Source organism: Homo sapiens, chromosome 12, assembly GCF_000001405.40.
Source record: "Homo sapiens chromosome 12, GRCh38.p14 Primary Assembly".
NCBI classification, from domain to species: Eukaryota; Metazoa; Chordata; class Mammalia; order Primates; family Hominidae; genus Homo; species Homo sapiens.
The window spans coordinates 116,900,046-116,921,473 of NC_000012.12; the positions used below are offsets into that span (position 1 = coordinate 116,900,046).

At 44.9% G+C, this 21,428-nt stretch overlaps 1 protein-coding gene and 1 pseudogene across 7 annotated transcripts in view, besides 2 other annotated features; both read left to right on the top strand.

Annotated features, from left to right (window-relative positions):
- Positions 8,267 to 8,586, top strand: RPL36P15 (ribosomal protein L36 pseudogene 15; annotated as a pseudogene).
- Positions 10,733 to 10,952: a silencer, noted in NCBI's record as "silent region_4908". NCBI's record gives its function as "represses an Ori minimal core promoter by ATAC-STARR-seq in GM12878 lymphoblastoid cells {active_cell/tissue: GM12878}" and the evidence as "EXISTENCE:reporter gene assay evidence [ECO:0000049][PMID:35858748]".
- Positions 10,905 to 21,428, top strand: part of FBXW8 (F-box and WD repeat domain containing 8) — a 120,199-nt gene continuing 109,675 nt past the window's right edge. For 2 of the 7 annotated variants that reach the window (XR_001748654.1, XM_017019176.2), the window contains exons 1-2: positions 10,905 to 11,112; positions 18,486 to 18,686. Coding sequence is in view for 5 of the 7 variants with exons in the window: in XM_017019176.2 (XP_016874665.1) it covers positions 10,993 to 11,112; positions 18,486 to 18,686 (321 nt within the window). In the remaining 2 variants the exon portion in view is untranslated. Of the gene's footprint in view, positions 11,311 to 18,485; positions 18,687 to 21,428 lie in introns of those variants that run through there. The other 5 variants (XR_007063065.1, NM_012174.2, XM_024448937.2 and 2 more) reach the window with 4 other exon arrangements.
- Positions 11,113 to 11,372: a silencer, noted in NCBI's record as "silent region_4909". NCBI's record gives its function as "represses an Ori minimal core promoter by ATAC-STARR-seq in GM12878 lymphoblastoid cells {active_cell/tissue: GM12878}" and the evidence as "EXISTENCE:reporter gene assay evidence [ECO:0000049][PMID:35858748]".

The following is a 21,428-nucleotide window of genomic DNA, read 5'->3' on the forward strand; positions in this document are numbered from 1 at the left end:
ATTTCCTATTTTTCTTTCCACTTGCGTGTCACCTGTAATTAGAGTTCCAAAGTGCTCAGTGTACCAAAGTGCTCAGGGTGATTTTTCTATTAAAACAGAAAGGAGAGAGGACTCATCGTTTCTGCAGATTGCAAAGTGGAACAGGCAACTGTTTCCATCACCTGCATGGGCAATTGTGTTGAGATTGATGAGACACATCAATGACACCCCTCACTTTTTTCTTAAAGGACTGAATTTATCTTTCTCTCTCCTACTCAATGTGTGTGTGAATGTGTGTATGGTTGTGTCTACCTTTATTACTTGCAGGCTCATCAGCAGCACAAATTTTTTTTTTTTTTTTTTTTTTTTTGAGATAGGGTCTCACTCTGTCACCCAGGCTGGAATGCAGTGACATGATCATGGATCACTGCAACCTTCATCTCCTGGGCTCAAGCAATTCTCCCACCTCAGCCTTCCGAGTGGCTGGGAGTACAGGCATGTGCTATCATAACTTGCTATTTTTTTTTTTTTTTTTGTAGCGACGAGGTCTTGCTATGTTGCCCAGGCTGGTCTTGAACTCCTGGGCTCAAGTGATCCTCCTGCCTCGGCCTCCCAAAGTGCTGGGATTACAGGTGTGAGCGACTGTGCCAGGCTTAGCAGCACAAATATTTATTGAGCATCCACTGGGTGTGGACACAAATCTCAGAAACACCTTCTGCTCTCTCTGAGCTCCATCATCCATTCATTAATTGATTCATTCATTCCACCAAGCAAGATTTACTGAGCACACTCTAGGAACCAGGCTGTATGAAAGGAGATGAGGATGCCCTGATGAACAAGATAGGCACGGCCCCCAGCCTCAGGGAGCCCGCATCCTAATGGGGGAGACACACAAAACAAACAGATAATAAATAAAACCACTTATCTATTGAGGTACAGCTCTGTTTCAGTGATAGGGATAATTGTGTGTGGATGCATTACTTAAATGGAATGGTCAGGGGGGTCACGTTTGAACTGAGAGCTGAAGGATGAAGAGGCAACCTCACTGAGGAGTGATACAGGAAGAGTGTTTTAGGAAGAGGGAAGTGGGTTCAAAAGCCCCCAAGGTGGAAAAGAAGTTAGCTTTTTTCAGACTACAGATAAGTTTGAATGGGAAGATATAAAATAAACACTGGAACCCTCACACAGTGCTGGTGGGGATGTAAAGTGGTGGATGGCAGGTCCTTAAGTGATTAAACATGATTTAAAATTATTTAACCCAGCAATTCTGCTCCTAGCAATATACCAAGGAGAAATAAGAAACTATGCCTACACAAAAACCTGTACAGGAATCTTTGTAGACACATTATTCTTTTTCGTTTAATATATTTTTTTAAGGACAGGGTCTCACTTTGTTGACCAGGCTGGAGTGCAGTGGTACAAACATGACTCACTGCAGCCTCTACCTCCTAGGCTCAAGTGATCCTCCCACTTCAGTCCCCCAAGTAGCTGGGACTACAGGTGTGCACCACACCTGGCTAATTTTTGTATTTTTTGTAAAGATGAGGTTTTGACGTGTTGCCCAGACTGGTCTTGAACTCGTGAGCTCAAGCAATCCATCCACCCAAAGTGCTAGGATTACAGGCATGAGCCACAGCACCTGGTCAGAAGCATTATTCTCAATAGCCAAAAGATGGAAGCAACTCAAGTGCCCATCAATGTCTGTAAAATAAGGACCGTTTTTTAATAGATGAATTGAGAAACAAATTTTAGTCTATCCATACAATGGAATATTATTCAGCCATGAAAAGGAATCAAGTATTGATACCTGCTGGAACGGGATGAGCCTGGAAAAGATTAACTGAATGAAAGAAGCTAGACACAAAAGGTCACATACTATATGATTCCATCTATATGAAATGTCCAGAATAGAGAAATCTACAGAGACAGAAAGCACAATGATGATTGCCCAGGAAGGACTGGAGGTGATGGCTAAAGTGAGTAGGGTTTCTTTTGGGGGGTGATGCAAGTATTCTAAAATTGTGGCAATGGTGACATATATCTGTGCATACTCTAAAATACATTGAATTGTATGCTTTCAATGGGTGAATGGTGCAGTATGTGTATTATATTTCAATAAAGCTGTTGTAAAATATGATCTCATTTATTATTTCAAGAACAGTGGAGGTACCTTTAGGTGTTTTAAATAGGGAAATGTCCTGATCTGATTCACTTTTCCAAAAGCTCTCTGGCAGCTCTGTGATTCATTGGCAGGAGCAACAATTGAGATGGGGAGACCAGTGGGGAGGTTCTGCAGTGGGCTAGACTCCATGACGGTGCCTTGGATTTAGGGGGTTGTCAGATTTAGCAAAGAGAAATACAGGATGCCCAGTTAAATTTGAATTTCAGATAAGCAAAGAATATTTTTAGTATAATATATCCCAAATATTGCATAGGACAAAATTATTCTTTGCTTATCTAAAATTTAAATTTTGCATGGGTATACTTACACTAAAATAATTCATTGTCTGTCTGAAATTCCATTTTAACTATGTGTCTTGCATTTTACCTGGTGACCTTCCTTGGACTAGGATGGTGGTGAGGGAGATAGAGAGAAGAGAAGTGAACAGATTGAAGATACAGTTTTTCTTTGTTTTGTTTTCTTACTTTCTTTTCTTTTTTTTTTTTTTTTTTTTTTTTTGACAGGGGCTTGCTCTGTCTCCCAGGCTGGAGTGCAGTGGTGCAATCTCAGCTCACTGCAGCCTTGAACTCCTGGGCTCAGTCAATCCTCTGACTTCAGCCTCCCTAGTAGCTGGGGCTACAGGCATGCACCACTACTCCTGGTTAATTTTTTTAATTATTATTTTTAAAGATAAGGTTGTCCTATGTTGCCCAGGCTGGTCTCAAACTCCTGAGGCCCGTGCGATCTTCCTGCCTCAGCCCCCCAAATTGCTGGGATTATAAATGTGAGCCACCTTGCCTGGCCTCAAAATATATTTTGAAAGTAGAATTATCTTGACTTGAGCTGGGCACAGTGGCTCATGCCTGTAATCCCAGCACTTTCAGAGGCCGAGATGGGCAGATCACCTGAGACCAGGAGTTCGAGACCAGCCTGGCCAACACGGTGAAACCCAGTCTCTACTAAAAATACAAAAATTAGCCGGACCTGGTGGCGGGCATCTGTAATCCCAGCTACTCAGGAGGCTGAGGTAAGAGAGTGGCGTGAACCCGGGAGGTGGAGGTTGCAGTAAGCAGAGATTCCACCACTGCACTCCAGCCTGGATGACAGAGCAAGACTCCATCTCAAAAACAAAAAAAAAATTATCAGCCCTTGATGTGAGAGGTGAGGGAGAGTGAGAACTCAAGTTCTTGGCTGAAGCATCAACGTAGTGTCATCATGTGCTGAGATGGGAAAAACTTAGTTGGATTGCAAAGAAATAAGATGAGAGGAATAATTTGAAATTTAATAAATTGGGAGGGATGACTTGGAATAAAGAAAATAATTTTGAGGCCAGGCGCGGTGGCTCACGCCTGTAATCCCAGCACTTTGGGAGGCCGAGGTGAGTGGGTCACCTAAGGTCGGGAGTTGGAGACCAGCCTGACTAATATGGTGAAACCCCGTCTCTACTAAAAATACAAAAATTAGCCAGGCGTGGTGGCGGGCAACTGTAGTCCCAGCTACTCGGGAGGCTGAGACAGGAGAATTGCTTGAACCTGGGAGGCGGAGGTTGCAGTAAGCCAAGATCACGCCACTGCACTCCAGCCTGAGTGACAGAGTGAGACTCTGTCTCTAAATAAATAAATAAATAAATAAATAAATAAACAATTTTGAGGTTCTTTGTTTCATAGGAGTGAGAGTTAAAGTCATACTAATGACAGGAGTATCTCTGCTTCATGTGAGCCCAGACTAGGATGGCTGCACAAGCTTGCCCTGGTGCCTTGCCTCTTAAGTAGACAGGCAAGGAAATTGGCTCTTGCTGTCCCAGGGTCTGAGCTGGAGTCTGGGCACTTATCCTGGGGACCCAAGCCATTGCCTCCTCCTTCGGCGCCAGCAGTAACTGAGCAAAGTGTCTCTCATGAGCATCAGGCTGGAAGTGAATTCTCAAGACAAATAAAAAGATGCAAGAGGTGAGAGAGAGCGAGAGACCCAAGGATGGAACACGTTTTTTTCTCCAGGGGAGGGTAACACTTTCAGAGGGAAAGATTTTGGAACCAGACTGGAGAAATGAAAAGGGAAGGGGCTTTAATAAAAGCAAGAGGGGGTTGAAGAGAGAGAAAGAGAGGTGGGAAGAGAGTTGGGTCCATATGGGACAAGCTTCTTTTGAATGACTAAGTCTGTAAGTGGCAGCTGACGCTGAATCCCGTCTGTGCAGCATTTTTTAAAAAATGGAATTATTGATGGGAAAGTTCTCAAGAACAAGGAAATTTTTTTTTTTTTTTGCTACAGATCGTTTTTCTTTTATTTCAAGCCCAGTTAAAAAAAATTTTTTTTGCAGAATTTTATATTTTGCTAATATGAAAGCATAAATCATGTCTACAGCAAGGGATGCATCCAGGTAAGGCTGACATTCAGAATGGCCACTCACATCATTGCGATGTTCTGTTCATGTTTCTAAACAATGTACTTAGAAATCATCACCATTTCTTATTTTCATTTTCATATTAATTTCCTGATGCTCACACATTAGTGATCCCAAATGAGGTGTGATTCTTCAGTCGCTACTTACAAGAGGGGAGGAAGTAGCAATGTAAGTTGAAGGGAGTTTTGACTCAACTCATGGCTTGTTCAAGAATAAACTACCGTTTGCTTGTTTGCTTTTTTTTTTCCTTTTTCTTTTTCGAAATGGAATCTCACTCGGTCCCCCAGGCTAGAGTGCAGTGGCGCGATCTCATCTCACTGTAACCTTCGCCTCCCGGGTTTAAGCGATTCTTATGCCTTAGCCTCCTGAGTGGCTGGGATTACAGGAACGTGCCACCATGACCTGCTGATATTTGTATTTTTAGTAGAGATGGGGTTTCGCTATGTTGGCCAGGCTGGTCTCAAACTCCTGACCTCAGGTGATCTACCCACCTTGGCCTCCCAAAGTGCTGGGATTACAGGCGTGAGCCACCGTGTCCGGCCGCTTTTTTTTTTTTTTTTTTTTTTTTTTTTTTTTTTTAAGAGAGAGGGTCTTGCTCTGTCGGAGTGCAGTGGAATGATCACAGCTCACTGCAACCTCAGACTCCTGGGCTCTAGGGATCCTCTTGCCTCAGTCTCCCGAGTAGCTAGGACTATAGGCATGTACCATCATGTCTGGTTAATTGTAATTTTTTATATTTTGTAAAGATGGGGCATCACTATGTTGCCCAGGCTGGTCTTGAACTCCTGGTCTCTAGCCATTCTCCCGCCTCAGTCTCCCAAGGCATTGGGTTTACAGGTATGAGCCACTGCATACAGCTACTGGTTGCTTTGAAGGTACTGAATGCAATGTACACTTTTAGATAAACATCTTTGTTTAAAAAATGAAATTAGTTGCTAACAATGGTCATTTTTCATAATTAAAAATCAAGACATTGAATTTTGGAAGATGTGGGCTAAGATGCAACAATTGAGTAGAGGAGAGTAATATTGGCTTTGTGTGGCTGGGCGTGGTGGCTCACACCTGTAATCCCAGCACTTTGGGAGGCCAAGGTGGGTGGATCACCTGAGGTCAGGAGTTCTAGACTAGCCTGGCCAACATGGTGAAACCCCATCTCTACTAAAAATGCAAAAAATTAGCCAGGCGTAGTGGCGAATGCCTGTAATTCCAGCTACTCGGGAGGCTGAAGCGGAAGAATCTCTTGAACCCGGGAGGTGGAGGTTGCAGTGAGCTGAGATCATGCCATTGCACTCCAGCCTGGGCAACAGGAGCGAAACTCTGTCTCAAAAAAAAAAAAAATTGGCTTTGCGCCGTACATGGACATCCGTTCTCCAGTTTGTTACAGTCCACGCCTGGCCCATTTGTCCCACTTTTGTTTCCTGGGGTCATCTGTAGGCATTTGAGTCTGTGGTTACTGAAGTCCAGCTGCTGTAGGCTGAATAATGGCCCCTCAAAAATATCCAAGTCCTAATCCGTGGAACCTGTGAATGTTACCTTAAATGGCAAAAGATTTTTGCAAATGTTGGCCAGGTGTGCTTGCTTGCGCCTGTAATCCCAGCACATTGAGAGACCAAGGCAGGCGGGTCACTTGAGGCCAAGAGTTCAAGACTAGCCTGGCCAACATGGTGAAACCCCGTCTCTACTAAAAATACAAAAAATTAGCTGGGCGTGGTAGTGGGCACCTGTAATCCCATGTACTCTGGAGGCTGAGGCATGAGAATTGCTTGAATCAGGGTGGCAGAGATTGCAGTGAGCTGGGATCGTGCCACTGCACTCCAGAGCGAGACTCTGTCTCAATAATAAATAAATAAATAAATAAATAAATAAATAAATAAATAAAGTTTTTTGCCAATGTCACTACATTAAGGATCTTGAGATAGGGAAGGTTATCCTGGATTGCCAGGTGGGCCCTTAGTAATCACAAGTATCCTTCTAAGAGGGAGGCAGGCTGGGCATGGTGGCTTATGCCTGAAATCCCAGCAGCTCAGCAGGCTGAGGTGAGAAGATTGCTTGAGGCCAGGAGTCCGAGACCAGCCTGGACAACATAGGAAGACCATGTCTCTGCAAAAAAAATTGAAAAATTAGCAAGGCATGGTGGCATGGAAATCCTGGAAATCCAGGACATTGTAAACCGCTCCCTGTTCTCCCAAGAGCTGGAAATATGACTGCCTTAGGCCAATCAGATGGTCCTCCAGGAGAGTGGTTCTCAAACTGGGTTATGCATCAGAATTACAGGGAGGGATTGTTAAAATCAAAATTGCTGGGGTTGGACCCCTAGCGTTTCCAATTTAGTGGTCTGGGCTGAGAATTTGCATTCCAAACAAGCTCCCAGGTATTGCTGGTTCAGGGGCTACATTCTGAGAACCTCTGCTCTCGGAATTTGAATCCTAGGAAATGAAAGACAGGCAGCGATCCCATCCTACAGAGATGGTTCACAGTTCCCATGATGAAATCCCTAAATCTGATCTGGTTCTTGGCATTCCAAGGGTCTGGTTATTCCTCTTTTTGTTTAACTTGGTGAGCCATCCTCTGAGTTTAATTCCCTTTTTCTTAAGGTAGAAAGACTTGGCGTCTGTTGCTTGCAAACAAAGAACTTTAACAGATTGAGCTTGCAAAAGTATACCCTCAATGTGATAAAAGGTGGGGCCCTGTGGAATACAAGACTTACAGAGCACAGGTTAGATGCAATCTCTATCTGCCAAGACTGTATTAATGTGGATCATAGACATCATTTATTAAAAGCCTACATTATGTTTTATGGATGCTAAGAGTTTTATAGGCATTTTATCAGTCTTACAGTTATTCTGAAAGAAAGATATTTCTATCTTTACTTTTCATTTGAGGAAATGGAGGTCCAGGAATTTACTACTGGAAAGATATAAAATCAACATAAATATAGTCAGTGAATGGTAGGCAATACTAAAAAAAAAGACAATATTTTCCTTCTTCTTAGCATGCTTCTCTCTCTCTCTCTTTTTCATTTTCTCTGGGTGACTAATGGTCCCATTAGCCTGCCTGCACTGTCCCTGTAAAAGTTCTTTTAAAGGGGCAACAGGAAACATTGATCTTGACCAGCTTGGGTGGTCTTGACCAGCTTGGGTGTTTAAAATTGATCTTGACCAGCTTGGGTGTTTAAAATTTTCCAGTTTGAGCCTGGAAAATTGGGTGTTTAAAATTTTCCAGTTTGAGCCTGGGCTTGGGGCCTAATGCTTGTAATCCCCCGAGGTGGGAGGATCGCTTGAGGCCAGGAGTTCAAGACCAACCATTTGACCAACTTCATCTCTACTAAAAACTTAAACATTAGTCTGAGATAGTGGCATGCTCCTGTAGTTCCAGCTACTTGGGAGGCTGAGGCAGGAGGATCACTTGAGCCCAGGAGTTCGAGGCTGCAGTGAGCTACGATCATGCCACTGCATTCCAGCCTGAGTGACAGAGTGAGACCCCATTTTTTTTAATTCCAGTTTGCTTTCTGTTTTAAGTGTTAGATGGTCCATAAAATCTAGAGATACCAGAAAAGTGATATTTGGCTTTTGACTTGCAAGTAGATAATCAAAGTAAGTATGACCTTTGGATTTCACATGGAAGGCACATGGGATGAATGGGATGCTAGCGGAATGGGGAAAAATTAGCTCGTTTTTATTTTTATTACAATAATATTTATTGGCAGCAGCCACTGATGAGCAGCAGCCATGTTTCTGTGGTCTCCCATGTCTGTGGGTCTCAGTGAGGGCCACAAGGTGAGGACCAAGAATGTGAGCAAGCATGGCCACTGCTGCCACCGCAGGCACCCCACCAAGCACAGAAAGTTCGTGTGGGACATGATGTGAGAGGTGTGTGGCTTTGTTCTATATAAGTGATGCACCTTGGAATTGTTCAAGGTCTCCAAGAAAAAGTGGACCCTCAAGTTCATCAAGAAGAGAGCGGGGACACACATCTGCACCATAAGAAGTGAGAGGAGCTGGGCAATATCTTGACCTCCAGGAAGCGAATGGCTGCCAAGAAGAACTGAGACTTCTTCCCCTTCTGTGTATAATAAAACCTTTACGGAAAAAAAAGAGAATGCTTACTTGTATTGGATGCTTATGTTCCATCTTGCATCACTTCACTCATCTTTTACCTTAGTCACTGCTGTAGCAACTGGCTTTGTGCACGTGTAACCTGACAGTCGTTCCTGTTAGCTGCACAGTGTACCTCCTGCTTTTTGCCCCAGAGCATCTCTGCTGCCTTGGTACGGAACATCCATGATAATCCGTTTACTTATACCCAATCTAGAAGTGGGAGGTTGTTAAAGCTCCTTGGCTTAGCCTTTCTCTAGTAGGGGATGAGAGTCACTGGACAAATGCTTTCCTCTTCTGGCTCTTATCTCTTGGGAGGACAATTCTGAGCTGTGTTCTAAGGCTCCTTAGAAGGTGCTAATGGAATGAGCCTAAATTGCCACAGTAGGACCAACTCAGAGATGCTCTTTCTTTTTTTTGTTTTTTTGAGACAGAGTCTCGCACTGTCGCCCAAGCTGGAGTGTAGTGGTGTGAATATACGCCCAACCATATACTCTAATTTTCTACAGTGAAGGTTGTCCAAGCCTGGTTTCCCACAGTAAGCAAGCCTGAGCCCTGGGTTTGTAGGCAGCTAGTTTATTTACAGAAGTGATTCTAGAGAAGAGGCCTGAGAGACTAAGAAGAGTTAGACAAGGAATAAGGGACAGTTAATTGCAAGAGCATCTTTGAGCCTGGAGTGGTGGCTCACACCTGTAACCCCAGCACTTTGGGAGGCTGAGGTGGGTGGATCACTTGAGGTCAGGAGTTCAAGACTAGTCTGGCCAACATGGTGAAACCCTATCTCTACTAAAAATACAAAAACTTAGCCAGGTGTGGTGGCGGGCACCTGTAGTCCTAGCTACTCAGGAGGCTGAGGCAGGAGAATGGCGTGAACCCGGGAGGCGGAGCTTCCAGCGAGCCGAGATCGCGCCACTGCACTCCAGCCTGGGCAACAGAGCGAGACTCCGTCTCAAAAACAAAACAAACCAAACAAACAAACAAACAAAAAACCATTTATTGAGCATGTATTAATCACCAGTCTCAAAGCTAAGAGTTGCCAATCTAGAAGGGAAGGGATATATATATATACATAAAAATAAAATTACAAATTGTGTTATGTATTATGATGAGAAGTACAGGATGCTGTGAGAATGAGTAACAGGGATACCTGATGTTTCTTGAGTGGAGGTTGGAAGATTAAGTGAAATGTGAGTTGAGATATGAAAGATGTGTAGGAGTTAACCAAGTCAAGGTGGGGGGAAAAGTTCCCTGCTGAGGGAATATCAGGTGCAAAGAAAACATTTTTAAGTGGAACGCCATCGTATGTCATTTTCTTTCCCATCTTAAAGCCCTTGGATTTCCTTCTGGAAATCTCTCTCCTAAGATCTGACCTTCCCTTGGCTGGTTTCTCTTTCAGATTTTTAAAAAAAAATTTTTATTTCCACAGGTTATTGGGAACAGGTGGTATTTGGTTACATGAGTAAGTTCTTTAGTGGTGATTTGTGAGATTTTGGTGCACGCATCACCCGAGCAGTATACACTGAACCCAAGTTATAGTCTTTTATCCCTCCCCACCTTCCCACCCTCCCCTCGTCCCCCTCCCCTGTTCCAAAGTCCCATAAGTCATTCTTATGCTTTTGCATCCTCGTAGCTTAGCTCCCACTTATATGTGAGAACATACGATGTTTGGTTTTCCATTCCTGAGTTACTTCACTTAGAATAATAGTCTCCAATCCCATCCAGGTTGCTACGAATGCCATGAATTCATTCCTTTTTTATGGCTGAGTAGTATTCCACCATATGTATATATCAGTTTCTTTATCCACCTGTTGATTCTCTTTTAGATTTTAATTTAAATAACATCTTAAACAGACTTTCACTATCAATCCTTACTCCCCTTACCTTACCTTATTTTGTTTTCTTCCTAATACCTATCACTGATTTAAATGTTCATATTTCTTTGTTTAAAGTCTCCCTACTTAAACGCATGCTCCAAGACGTCAGAGTTTTTGTTTTGTTTTACAGATTTAAATGCTGAATTCTTGGTGCCTGGCATATAGTAGTTGCTGAATGAATGTTTGTTGAATGAAGGAACAATGCTTGGCGCAAAGTCAGAGCTTAGCAAAAGTGATAGGCAGCAGAGCTGACGGGCTGAGGGGCAGCTGCGTAAACCTCTGCTTTGGGCGCCACAAGCCACAAGCCGGACCACCACGTGCGTACAGGGGCAGCGCCGGGGGCGTGGCGGGGGCGTGGACGCCCACCCGGAACCCTAGAGCGGCGGCGGCAGCGGCTTCCGGCCGCGGCGGACACTTCCCTGGGCGGGACTGTCTCGTGGCACCCGGTGGAACCGAGGAGAACGTGGAGCGCCGGGAGCGGCGAATATGGACGACTACAGCCTGGATGAGTTCCGTCGGCGCTGGCAGGAGGAGCTGGCGCAGGCCCAGGCGCCGAAGAAGCGGCGACGGCCCGAGGCTGCCGAGAGGCGGGCTCGGCGGCCGGAGGTGGGCTCCGGGCGCGGCGAACAGGCCTCGGGGGACCCGGCGCTGGCCCAGCGTCTCCTGGAGGGCGCGGGGAGGCCCCCGGCGGCGCGGGCGACTCGGGCCGAGGGGCAGGACGTAGCGAGCCGCTCACGTTCTCCTCTGGCCCGCGAGGGCGCCGGGGGCGGGGAGCAGCTGGTGGACCAGCTCATCCGCGACCTGGTGAGTGGCCGTCGCCTCCCCCCCGCCCATGCCTGCGCCGGCCCCCGCCCCCAGGACAAACCCCTGCAGTGATTTGGAGAGTAACTGTGTGCCACTAGTTGCCCGAGAAAATGAGTAGACGCACAAACACCAATGTTTGTGCTTGCATAGGGGTCTTTCTGGAAGCAGCACTTCCCAACCAGGGCGATTTTGTTCCCCCAGATGTGGCAGTGTCTGCAGACATTTTTGGGTGCCTCATCGGGGTGTGTATGTGTGCATGTTACTGGGCATCTAGTGGGTAGAGGCCAGAGATGCTCCTGAACATCCTACAGTGTACAGGACACCACGCACAAAAAAATTATCCAGGACAAAATATCAGTAAGTGTGGGGTTGAGAAATCCTGCTCTTGAAGGCTACCTAAACTTTGAACAAAGGTTGCCTTTGAAAAGGAGGACCCAGATGATGGATAGGAAGTAATTTTACCTTTGTATACTGTTTGCACTATTTAATTTTTGTAACCGTGCACGTATTCAAAAAAATTATCTCAGAAAAAAAGGAAGAAGAGGAGGAAGAATCTCCTGGGCACTTTCATTAGGATAGAGTTTCTTATCTTTTTGTGGGGCGTGGATACCTTGGAGAATCTGGAGGAAGCTGGGGACCCTGTGTCCGTTAAAAATAATCCCCTTCAGAAAGTTGGGAAAATCAAGAACACCTGAAATGCATCCGTGGCTCCCAGGTTAAGAGGACAAGGCTCCAGGTTCTAATGGTTTGATTTAAATTAGGCCCAAAGGAAGTCCCTACAGCTTTACAATTGGGAACCCACTTTTTTTTTTCCTGTTTTTTTTTTTTTTTCTTTCTTTCTTTCTTTTCTGAGACAGGGTCTTGCTCTGTTGCCCAGGCTAGAGTGTACTGTTGCTCTCCCGGCCCACTGCAGCCTCAAACTGCCTGGCTCAAGCCATCCTCTTCCCTCAGCATCCCGCGTAGCTGGGACTACACGCATGCGCCACCACACTCAGCTAATTTTTTAAATTTTTTGGTAGAGACAAGGTCTCCCTGTATTGCCCAGTCTGGTCTCAAACTCCTGGGCCCAAGTGATCCTCCCAATTGAGAATCATTCTTTTTTTTTTTTTTTTTTTTTGAGACGGAGTCTCGCTCGCTCTGTCGCCCAGGCTGGAGTTGCAGTGGCGCGATCTCGGCTCACTGCAAGTTCCGCCTCCTAGGTTCACGCCATTCTCCTGCCTCAGCCTCCCCAGTAGCTGGGACTAACAGGCGCCCACCACCACGCCCGGCTAATTTCTTTTTGTATTTTTAGTAGAGATGGGGTTTCACTGTGTTAGCCAGGATGGTCTCGATCTCCTGACCTCGTGATCCGCCCGCCTCGGCCTCCCTAAGTGCTGGGATTACAGGCGTGAGCCACCGCGCCCGGCCGAGAATAATTCTTTTAAGTGGCAAGCTGTTTCAAGAAATAATGGCCTATTATTTTATGTAATATGTAGTTTACTCAAATAGCATTAATAGCTACTATTTGAGTTTTTACCAAGTGTTTAGTCCTGTGCTCTGCCCTAATTCGAATATAACAATCCTGTGAGGTAGATTTTAACTCTCCTTTTACAAATGAAGAAACTCAGAGATTCTCTGTAACTTGCCCAGCATTACCCCACTGATAGATTCTGGGGATTGAATTTGGATCCAGGTCTTTTCAACTCCAAGTTTCACCACGTGAACTTGAGTTGGCATAAGAATCACTTGAGGCTTGGTTATAATATAGGTTCTGGGCCCTCCCCAGACCTGCTAACTCCATCACCAGGGAAGGGGCCCTGAAATCTGATGACTGGTATGATCAGGCAAGTTTAAGACATTATACTCTACTGTATAGCCTCCTTTGGTTTAAGGTCCTGATTCTCAAGGCTTTCCATTTGTAACACCTTAGAGGTATAGGCATTGATGCCAAAAATAGTAAAGAAGCAAATCATGTACAGTTGACCTTTGAACAACCTGGGGGGTTAGGAGAACTGACCTCCTTGCAGTCAAAAATCTGTGTATAACTTTTGACTCTCCCAAAACTTAACTACGAATAGCCTACTGTTGACCAGAAGCCTTATAGATAAGTCAGTTAACACATATTTTGTATCTTCTGTGTGTTATATACTGTAGCATTATAATAAAGTAAGCTAGAGGAGAAAGTGTCATTAAGAAAATTATAAGAGAAAATGTATTTACTATTCATTAAGTGAAAGTGGCTCATCACAAAGGCCATCATTCTCATTGCCTTCATGCTGGGTAGGCTGCTGCTGCTGCTACGAAGGAGGGATTGGTCTTGCTGTCATAGTGGTGGCAGAGGTGCAAGGAGAGGCAGGCACATTCGATGCAACGTTTATGGAAAAAACCTGCATACAAGTGGACCCACGCGGTTCAAACCCATGTTGTTCAAGGGTCTGTAGTATTCTGAAAATAGAAGGGACCTGCATACTGGAGAATCTGGAGGGTACATCTGAATCTATTTCATGTTGTTGGAAAAGGCCTTCCCTGTCTTCCTGGAATTCATTTCCCTGGTCTCCTCTGCCCCCTTCAGAATCACCACATTAGGTACTACTAGGTTCTCTATGAGTAGCATACAACTTTTGGGGCACCTCTAATTTTAAAGAGGACTTTGTAGGCCAGGTGTGGTGGTACACACCTGTAATCCCACCACTTTGGAGGCCAAGCCAGGAGGATTGCTTGAGCCCAGGAGTTCAAGACCAGCCTGGGCAACATAGTGAAACCCTGGTTCTACAAAAAATTTAAAAAATTTAGCTAGGTGTGGTGGTGCACCCCTTTAGTTCTAGCTACTTGGGAGGCTGAGGTGGGAGGATCGCTTGAACCCAGGAGGCTGAGGCTGCAGTGAGCCATGATTGCACCACTGCACTCCAGCCTGGGTGACACAGCAAGACCCTGTCAAAAGCAGGCAAAAAGCAAACTTTGTGGCTGGGCAAGGTGGCTCATGCCTGTAATCCTAGCACTTTGGGAGGCTGAGGTGGGTGGATGGATCTCTTGAGCTCAGGAGCTCAAAACCAACCTGGGCAACGTAGAGAAACCCCATCTCTACAAAAATTGGCCAGCGTGGTGGCATGTTCCTGTAGTCCTCACTACCTGGGAGGCTGATGTGGGAGGATTGATTGAGGCCAGGAGGTCGAGGATGCAGTGAGCCGGGATCACACCACTGCACTCCGGCCTAGGTGACAGAGCGAAACCCTGTCTCAAAAAAAAAAAAAAAAAAAAAGGCTGGGCCTGGTGGCTCATACCTGTAATCCCAGCACTTTGGGAGGCTGAGGTGGGCAGATCACCTGAGGTCAGGAGTTCGAGACCAGCCTAACCAACAAGGAGAAACTCTGTCTCTACTAAAAATACAAAATTAGCCAGGCATGGTGGTGGGTGCCTGTAATCCCAGCTACTCAGGAGGCTGAGGCAGGAGAATCTCTTGAACCCAGGAGGCGGAGGTTGTGGTGAGCCGAGATCGTGCCATTGCACTCCAGTCTGGGCAACAAGAGCAAAATTCCATCTCAAAAAATAAAAAATGAAAACAAGACTTTGCAATCATTAGTAACACTGCTATAAATAAAGTTATAATTCATTGTGTGCGTAAACTGTCTCCTTGGTACTGTCTTAAGGGTTTAGAGACATTATCGTCTTCATTTCTCCCAACAACTCTCTCCAGTGGCTATTTTCAACTAATCTGTAGATGAGCATTAGGAAAGTAACTGATTTTTAGATAATAAACCTACTCCTTCTCTCCAGGCTGATAAATGATGACAAGGTTTATGGAAAAGGCTTGGATTCCTGTGTCAGTGGTTGCAAGCCCCAGAGCCCACAGGGCTAAGGCAGGTAATGCACGTGAGTGAGGTAGGCTGGGTGTTGCACATTAGGTCTTTTCTCCCAGCTCATCAGGTGTTTTTATGTGTTCTGGTCATAGCTTTATAATTCGTTTCATAGTGGCAGCTGTTCTTTTTGTCACAATTAAACATGTAGGAATTGTCTTTAAACATGGCCATCTTGGTCTTGTTTTCCCACTTTTAAAAGTTTTTAAGCTCAAACTATGTATTGACCTTTACAAGGGCCTAAATACACAGCTTGATGAATTTTCAAGTGTACACATCCATGTAAACAGCAGCCAGGTCACAGGGCAGCATCACCAGCATGTCAGAACCACCTCCCCTGCCCTGTGTTCCCTTCCACCCAAGGGTAACCACTCACCTGACTTCTCTTCCACCCAGGGGTAACCACTCACCTGACTTCTCTTCCACCCAAGGGTAACCACTCACCTGACTACTTTTTTTTTTTTTTTTTTTTTTTTTTTTGGGAGATAGAGTCTTACCCTGTAACCTAGGCTGGAGTGCGGTGGCATGATCTTGGCTCACTGCAACCCTGACTTCCCGGGTTCAAGTGATTCTTGTGCCTCAGCCTCCTTAGTAGCTGTGACTACAGGCATGCACCACCACGGCCTGCTCATTTTTGTATCTTTGGTAGAGATGGGGTTTCACTATGTTGGCCAGGCTGGTTTTGAACTCCTGGCCTTGTGATCTGCCCGCCTCGGCCTCCCGAAGTGCTGGAACTACAGGTGTGAGCCTGCATGCCTGGCCTCACCTGACTTCTAACACCACATTTAGTTTGTTTGTTTTTGAACTGTATATTAAGTGGAGTCAAACAGCACATACTCATGTGTCTTTGAGTTCTCGTGTATGGCATTATCTGTGAGATTGATCCCTATGAATATGCCACATCTTATCTACTGTTGATGGGAATTGTTGCTAGTTTGTTGATAGCCAGTTTGGGACTCTCAGATATAGTGCCACCATAAATGTTTTGTACATCTTCTGAAAAATGTGTCCACATTTTTCCTGAGTATTCATTTGGGAGTGGAATTGGTGAGTCATAAGGTATGCATAGATTAGCCTTGGTAGATACTGACAGTTTTCCAAAGTAGTTGTACTGGTTTTCTCACTTTTGATAGTAACTTGTGTATGTGGAATGTAGTATTTCACTTTCTTCTTTACCATAAATCAACACCCAGCTGAGATGACATGACAGCAGAACTTGACCCCAGCATGGGCAAGATGATAAAGACACATTGGGAAATACATGCCATGGCTGGGGTCAGGGTAATAACCACTGCCCCCATTAGCTGGTTGTTGCCCTGTAGGAATGTGGTCCCAGTGTTGTAAGGTCTTTAGATTTTTTTTTTTAATTGGGAATATGTATTTTTATGTGGACTCCTTCAGTTTTTTCTGCATGAGAAAACCATCCAAGCTGGGCATGGTGGCACATGCCTGTACTCCCAGCTGCTGGGGGAGTTGAGGCAGGAGGATCACCTTAGCCCAGGAGTTTGAGACCAGCCTGGGCAAAATAGATTCTGTCTCACTTAAAAACACCATCCAAAACGTTGGCTTAAAACAACCACGATTTAGCTCACCATTTTGCAGGGTGGCAGCTTGGGCTGGGCATGGGTGAGCTCACTCGTGTGTCTGAGGTTAGCTGTGGTCACCTAGGCTGCTCTGCTTCTAGGGGTTGGCTAATTGTGCGTGTGTGTGTGTGTGTGTGTGTGAGAGAGAGAGAGAGAAAGAGGTGTGTATCTGGGTTATGAGTCATCATACAGCAGCTTAGCTTAGCCCCAAGTGGGCATTCTCAGAGTTACAAGAGCAGCAAGAGGGCGAGCCCCAGTGGCCAGATGCAATGGTGCTTTTGAAGTCTGCATAGGTCATGTTTGTTATTCTCATGTGGCCAAGTCCAGAGTCAGTGTGGATTTACCCAAGTGCTTGGATACAGAGAGACATGAACAAATTTGGGGCCATCACTATGTCAGTCTACCTCAAAAGCTCTTCCAATTTTTAATTGTTGGTAACTAATAAAAATTAATAAGATTTTAGGTGCTAACATTGCAGGTTAAACAAAACCTGTCAGTGGGCTAGATCTGCCTTGGGTAACCATTTTATCATCTTTGCCTTGTGCCTTCCCAAGAATCCTTGCTTGATCCATGGGTGGCTCCTGAAAGGAAGAGTTAGTTCCATTTGAGACTCCCTAGAATCTTTAACAGAAGCTGATCCACTTGACATGAATGGGAAATAAAATCTGGTACTACCTTCTTACACTTCCTCCCTGCCCCCGTTTCTTCTCCAACCTTTGGCACTTTCATTAGTGCACCCTGTTGTATTTCTGGTGCAGTCTCCTCCACTTCAGAGTCTTCAGTATCCATCACTAGAGAGAGAACAACTAATAAGTTAGCAATCAAAAGTGAAGTTGCCTTTGGATGGGTAGGTGAGCAGTGCTGCCTTGGAGTGTCATCTGGCTGGTATAGGCCAGAACCTCTGATGGGCAAGCAAAGCTGACATGAAAACGCAGGACTCACTGGGCATGGTGGCTTATGCCTGTAATCCCAGCACTTTGGGAGGCCGAGGTGGATGGATCACGAGGTCAGGAGATCAAGACCATCCTGGCTAAGACGGTGAAACCCTGTCTCTACTAAAAAATACAATAATTAGCCGGGTGTGGTGGCACGTGCCTGTAGTCCCAGCTACTGGGGAGGCTGAGGCAGAAGAATTGCTTGAACCCGGGAAGCAGAGGTTGCAGTGAGCCGAGATTGCGCCACTGCACTCCAGCCTGGGTGACAGAGCAAGACTCCACCTCAAAAAAAAAAAAACAAAAAAAAAACAACGCAGGACTCCTCCCAAGCCTCATGTTTTATGAAGCTTTTAGTAATAGCACTTAGCAGCCATCTCTTTTTAGGTGATGAGTTGGGAATACCTCAGTTGGCACCTGATAGAGTTCTTAGTATAAGTAAACTAGTGAAAGAACACATCCCTGGTCAGAATTTCAGAGGCAGTAGGCACTTTCTCTGTTGTCTTCTCTTCTCCTCTGTTCATAAACCCAGGCTTCTTGGAGATAGTGGATATACCTGAGTATAATTGCAAGTGTGCTGCTTTCTTCAGTGGAGTGGCTGTGATACCAACTTGCTTGGGCTCCATTTTTATTTAGGTGGTGTATCAGGACTCTGGGCTGCAGGCAACAAGCACCCAACCCAAACTGGCTTAAAAACCCAAACTGGAATCTATTGATTCCTGTAACTGAAAATTCCAGGTGGTAATGTTTGTTCTGGGTGCTTACCTAAGGTAAGTAGGATTTGCCTTCTCTTAATCCTGCTTTCCTTTTGTTGACTTTATTCACAGACAGGCTTTCCTCTTGGGGAAAAATGGCTACCAGCAACTCTAGTCTTCTATCTGCTTAGCAACTCAAGGGAAAGAGAGCTGCAAGTCATGAACCTAAATTCCCATTGCTGCAAACTGGGTCATGTGTCCACCTTTCAGCCAATCACTGATTCAAATTGTTCAGACTCGAATCCATTGCCCATTCCTGAAGATGAAGGTGAGGTCAGCTCTGCCTAAATTGTGTTGACTAAGAGTGGGAGTGGGATGGTTTCCTAAATAGAGGAAGTGGATGTTGGGCAGGAAAAAAGAGCAATAACTGATATCCATTTTAGGTGGGTGTGTGACGCAGCACTAACTGAGAATACAGTAGTCCCACCTTATCCACTGGAGATACATTTCAAGACCCCCGGTGGGTGCTTGAAAATGCAGATAGTACTGAACCCTGTATATGCCATGTTTTTTTTTCCTATATACACAGAGCAATGATAAAGTTTATAAACAAGGCACAGTAAGAGATTAACAGCAACAACAAAATAGAACAATTACAACAGTATACTATAATGTTATATGAATGTGGGCTCTCATAATACTGTACTGTAAGTAACTGATGCTATGGAAAGCAAAACCGCGGATAAGGGGGGACGACTGTGTTTTCTGTTCATCCAACATATATTCATTGATCAGCTCAGTGCTGGGGAATCAGCAGTAAACAGAATGGCTCCTTGTCCTCAGAGAGCCTAAAGTCTTGTTTCTTTTAACTAAAAGAATGACATTAATGGAGTCAGGACAGTCTTGGCTATGGGGCTGGGCTCTGCAGTCAAGCAGACCTGAGTTCAGATTCTGGCTCTGCTGTTACCAGTTTGCCTTGGGCAAGTTAATTTCCCCTGCCTTAGCTGTCAAATGATGATGATGTTAGTACCTATCTCGTGAAGAGGCAATGAAATAGGCATGGAACTTAGCACTGAGCCTGGAGTACAGTAAGGGCCCAATAAATGTAAGCTGGTGCCATTATCGTTAGTACTCAGAGTTTGCTATGCTATTTTACTTCCTCTTTACTGAAGCTTATCACCGATAAGCCCTTAGCTTCCGCCTCTTGTGAATCCCTGGAGGGCAGGATCTGTTGCCTTACTGTTCTAACTCCACCTGCCTTACTAGTACAGTAGGGGCCCTATCTATGTTTGTTGAGTTGAAATAATGTGGGCAAAATTGCTGCTTCTGACTGCGACTTTATAAAGGCTCTATGATTGTTAGAACCCTTGAACATTCAAAGCATCCTTCCAGGTTAAGATATGGAGTTTTAGGTCTGCTGAAAGTTTTAATACTGCTGGCCAATATTTATCACTCACCATGTCAATATTTAACCTGTCAGATCCTGCATCTGTGTTGCCAACAAGATAGATTTAATGGCTTAACCTTCTTCTGTTTTTAAGTTAAACACAAATAAGTAAGCTCCCTAATGTGAACACTTTTCTTCTGGCTAATATGCAGTGAGACAGCAAACCAAACCAAATGTGTACTCATGAATTGACTTAACTGGAATAACTTCCTTTCCTCTTTCCTGTTCTTTGCCTGCCTTTTAAAGCTCAGCTTGAGTTCTGTCTCCTGTGTTAATTCTTCCGTGATTTCTCCAGCCCAAATTTCTCCCTTTCCCCCAACTAAAAAGTTCTTATCCTCAGTGCTGTTCATTTTTTCATGTTATTCGTGAATTAGCAGGCCTCCACTTACGAACCTTTTGAAATGATGCCTGTGTATACTAGAACAACTTGTGACTTACATGCGGTCTTTGTTGGAACGGTCTGCTGCTTGAAGCAGCTTGGGTTTCATTCATATCCCACAAATATTTATTAAGTGTCTTCTTGGTACCAGCCACTGTTCCAGGCACTGAGAATATAGCATTGAACAAGGCAGAAAAAAGCCTGTGCCCTTGTGTAACTTACATTCTGGGGAAGAGGGAGTTAGACAATGGACAAATAATTGTCAGGTAATAAATAAATGTTCTGGAGAAGAAATAAGCAGACAGGATAGAGTGTATCTGCCAGGGGAGGGGCTGTAATTTTAAATAGTGCTGTCCAACAGGGTCTTTCTGGGAAGGTCACATTTCATGGAGAACCTAAAGGAGGTGAGGAGTGAACATACAGAGATCTGGGGGAGGGGATTCTAGGCCAAGACGGGCAAGTGCAAAGGTTCTGTGGTGACCAGGACCCGCACTTAGTTTAATGCTCTGTTGCCTTGATCATTTGTAATGATCTTAATCATTTGTGACCAACAGGCCCCCCAAATTCTATAGCCAATCCTGATGGTGGGAATGTGCCTGCAGTGTTTGGGACCCTTAATGTGAACATCTTTACTCTTTTCACAAACCCACTGTGGTTTCAAAAACCACACCCACTGTGGTACCCCTCTGGGACCTGAAGCTTCTCCTCTTCCTGTCTTCTCTCCTCGCCATGTCCTAAAGCTCAGATCCCAGTTTAGACTAAAAGGGGGCTCAAAGCAGAGGCCCAGCCCATTTTGCTTCACACCACCCTCCTTCACCACCACACCCAGCCTCCTGGGATTTCCCCCAGCACTTGCATTTCTTTAGATTGGCATCTTCTACCTTCTTTCCTTGCCAGAGTCCCCAGGAGAGTGAGAATATGTCTTGAAGCTGGAAAGCCTATTCTCGTAAAAAAAGGATAAATCAAATTCCATGGACATTTATTGTGCATCTACTGTGTGCAATGCACTGAGCTGGTTAGATTCTATAGTATTATAGTTCACTTATATCACCCGCACATGTGATCAACAAACATTTATTGAATACCTTTTGCTCTTCCTCATAGCTAGGCATGGGGATTAGGTTAAATGTTAAGAGACGAATTGTTTTTTTGTGGACTGCTTGGGAGCTTAGCCGCTCTTTGTAGCATTGTTTGTTTGGAGAAATGTTTTCCAGCTTCTATATGGCTGGCTTACTAATGAACTTTGGAG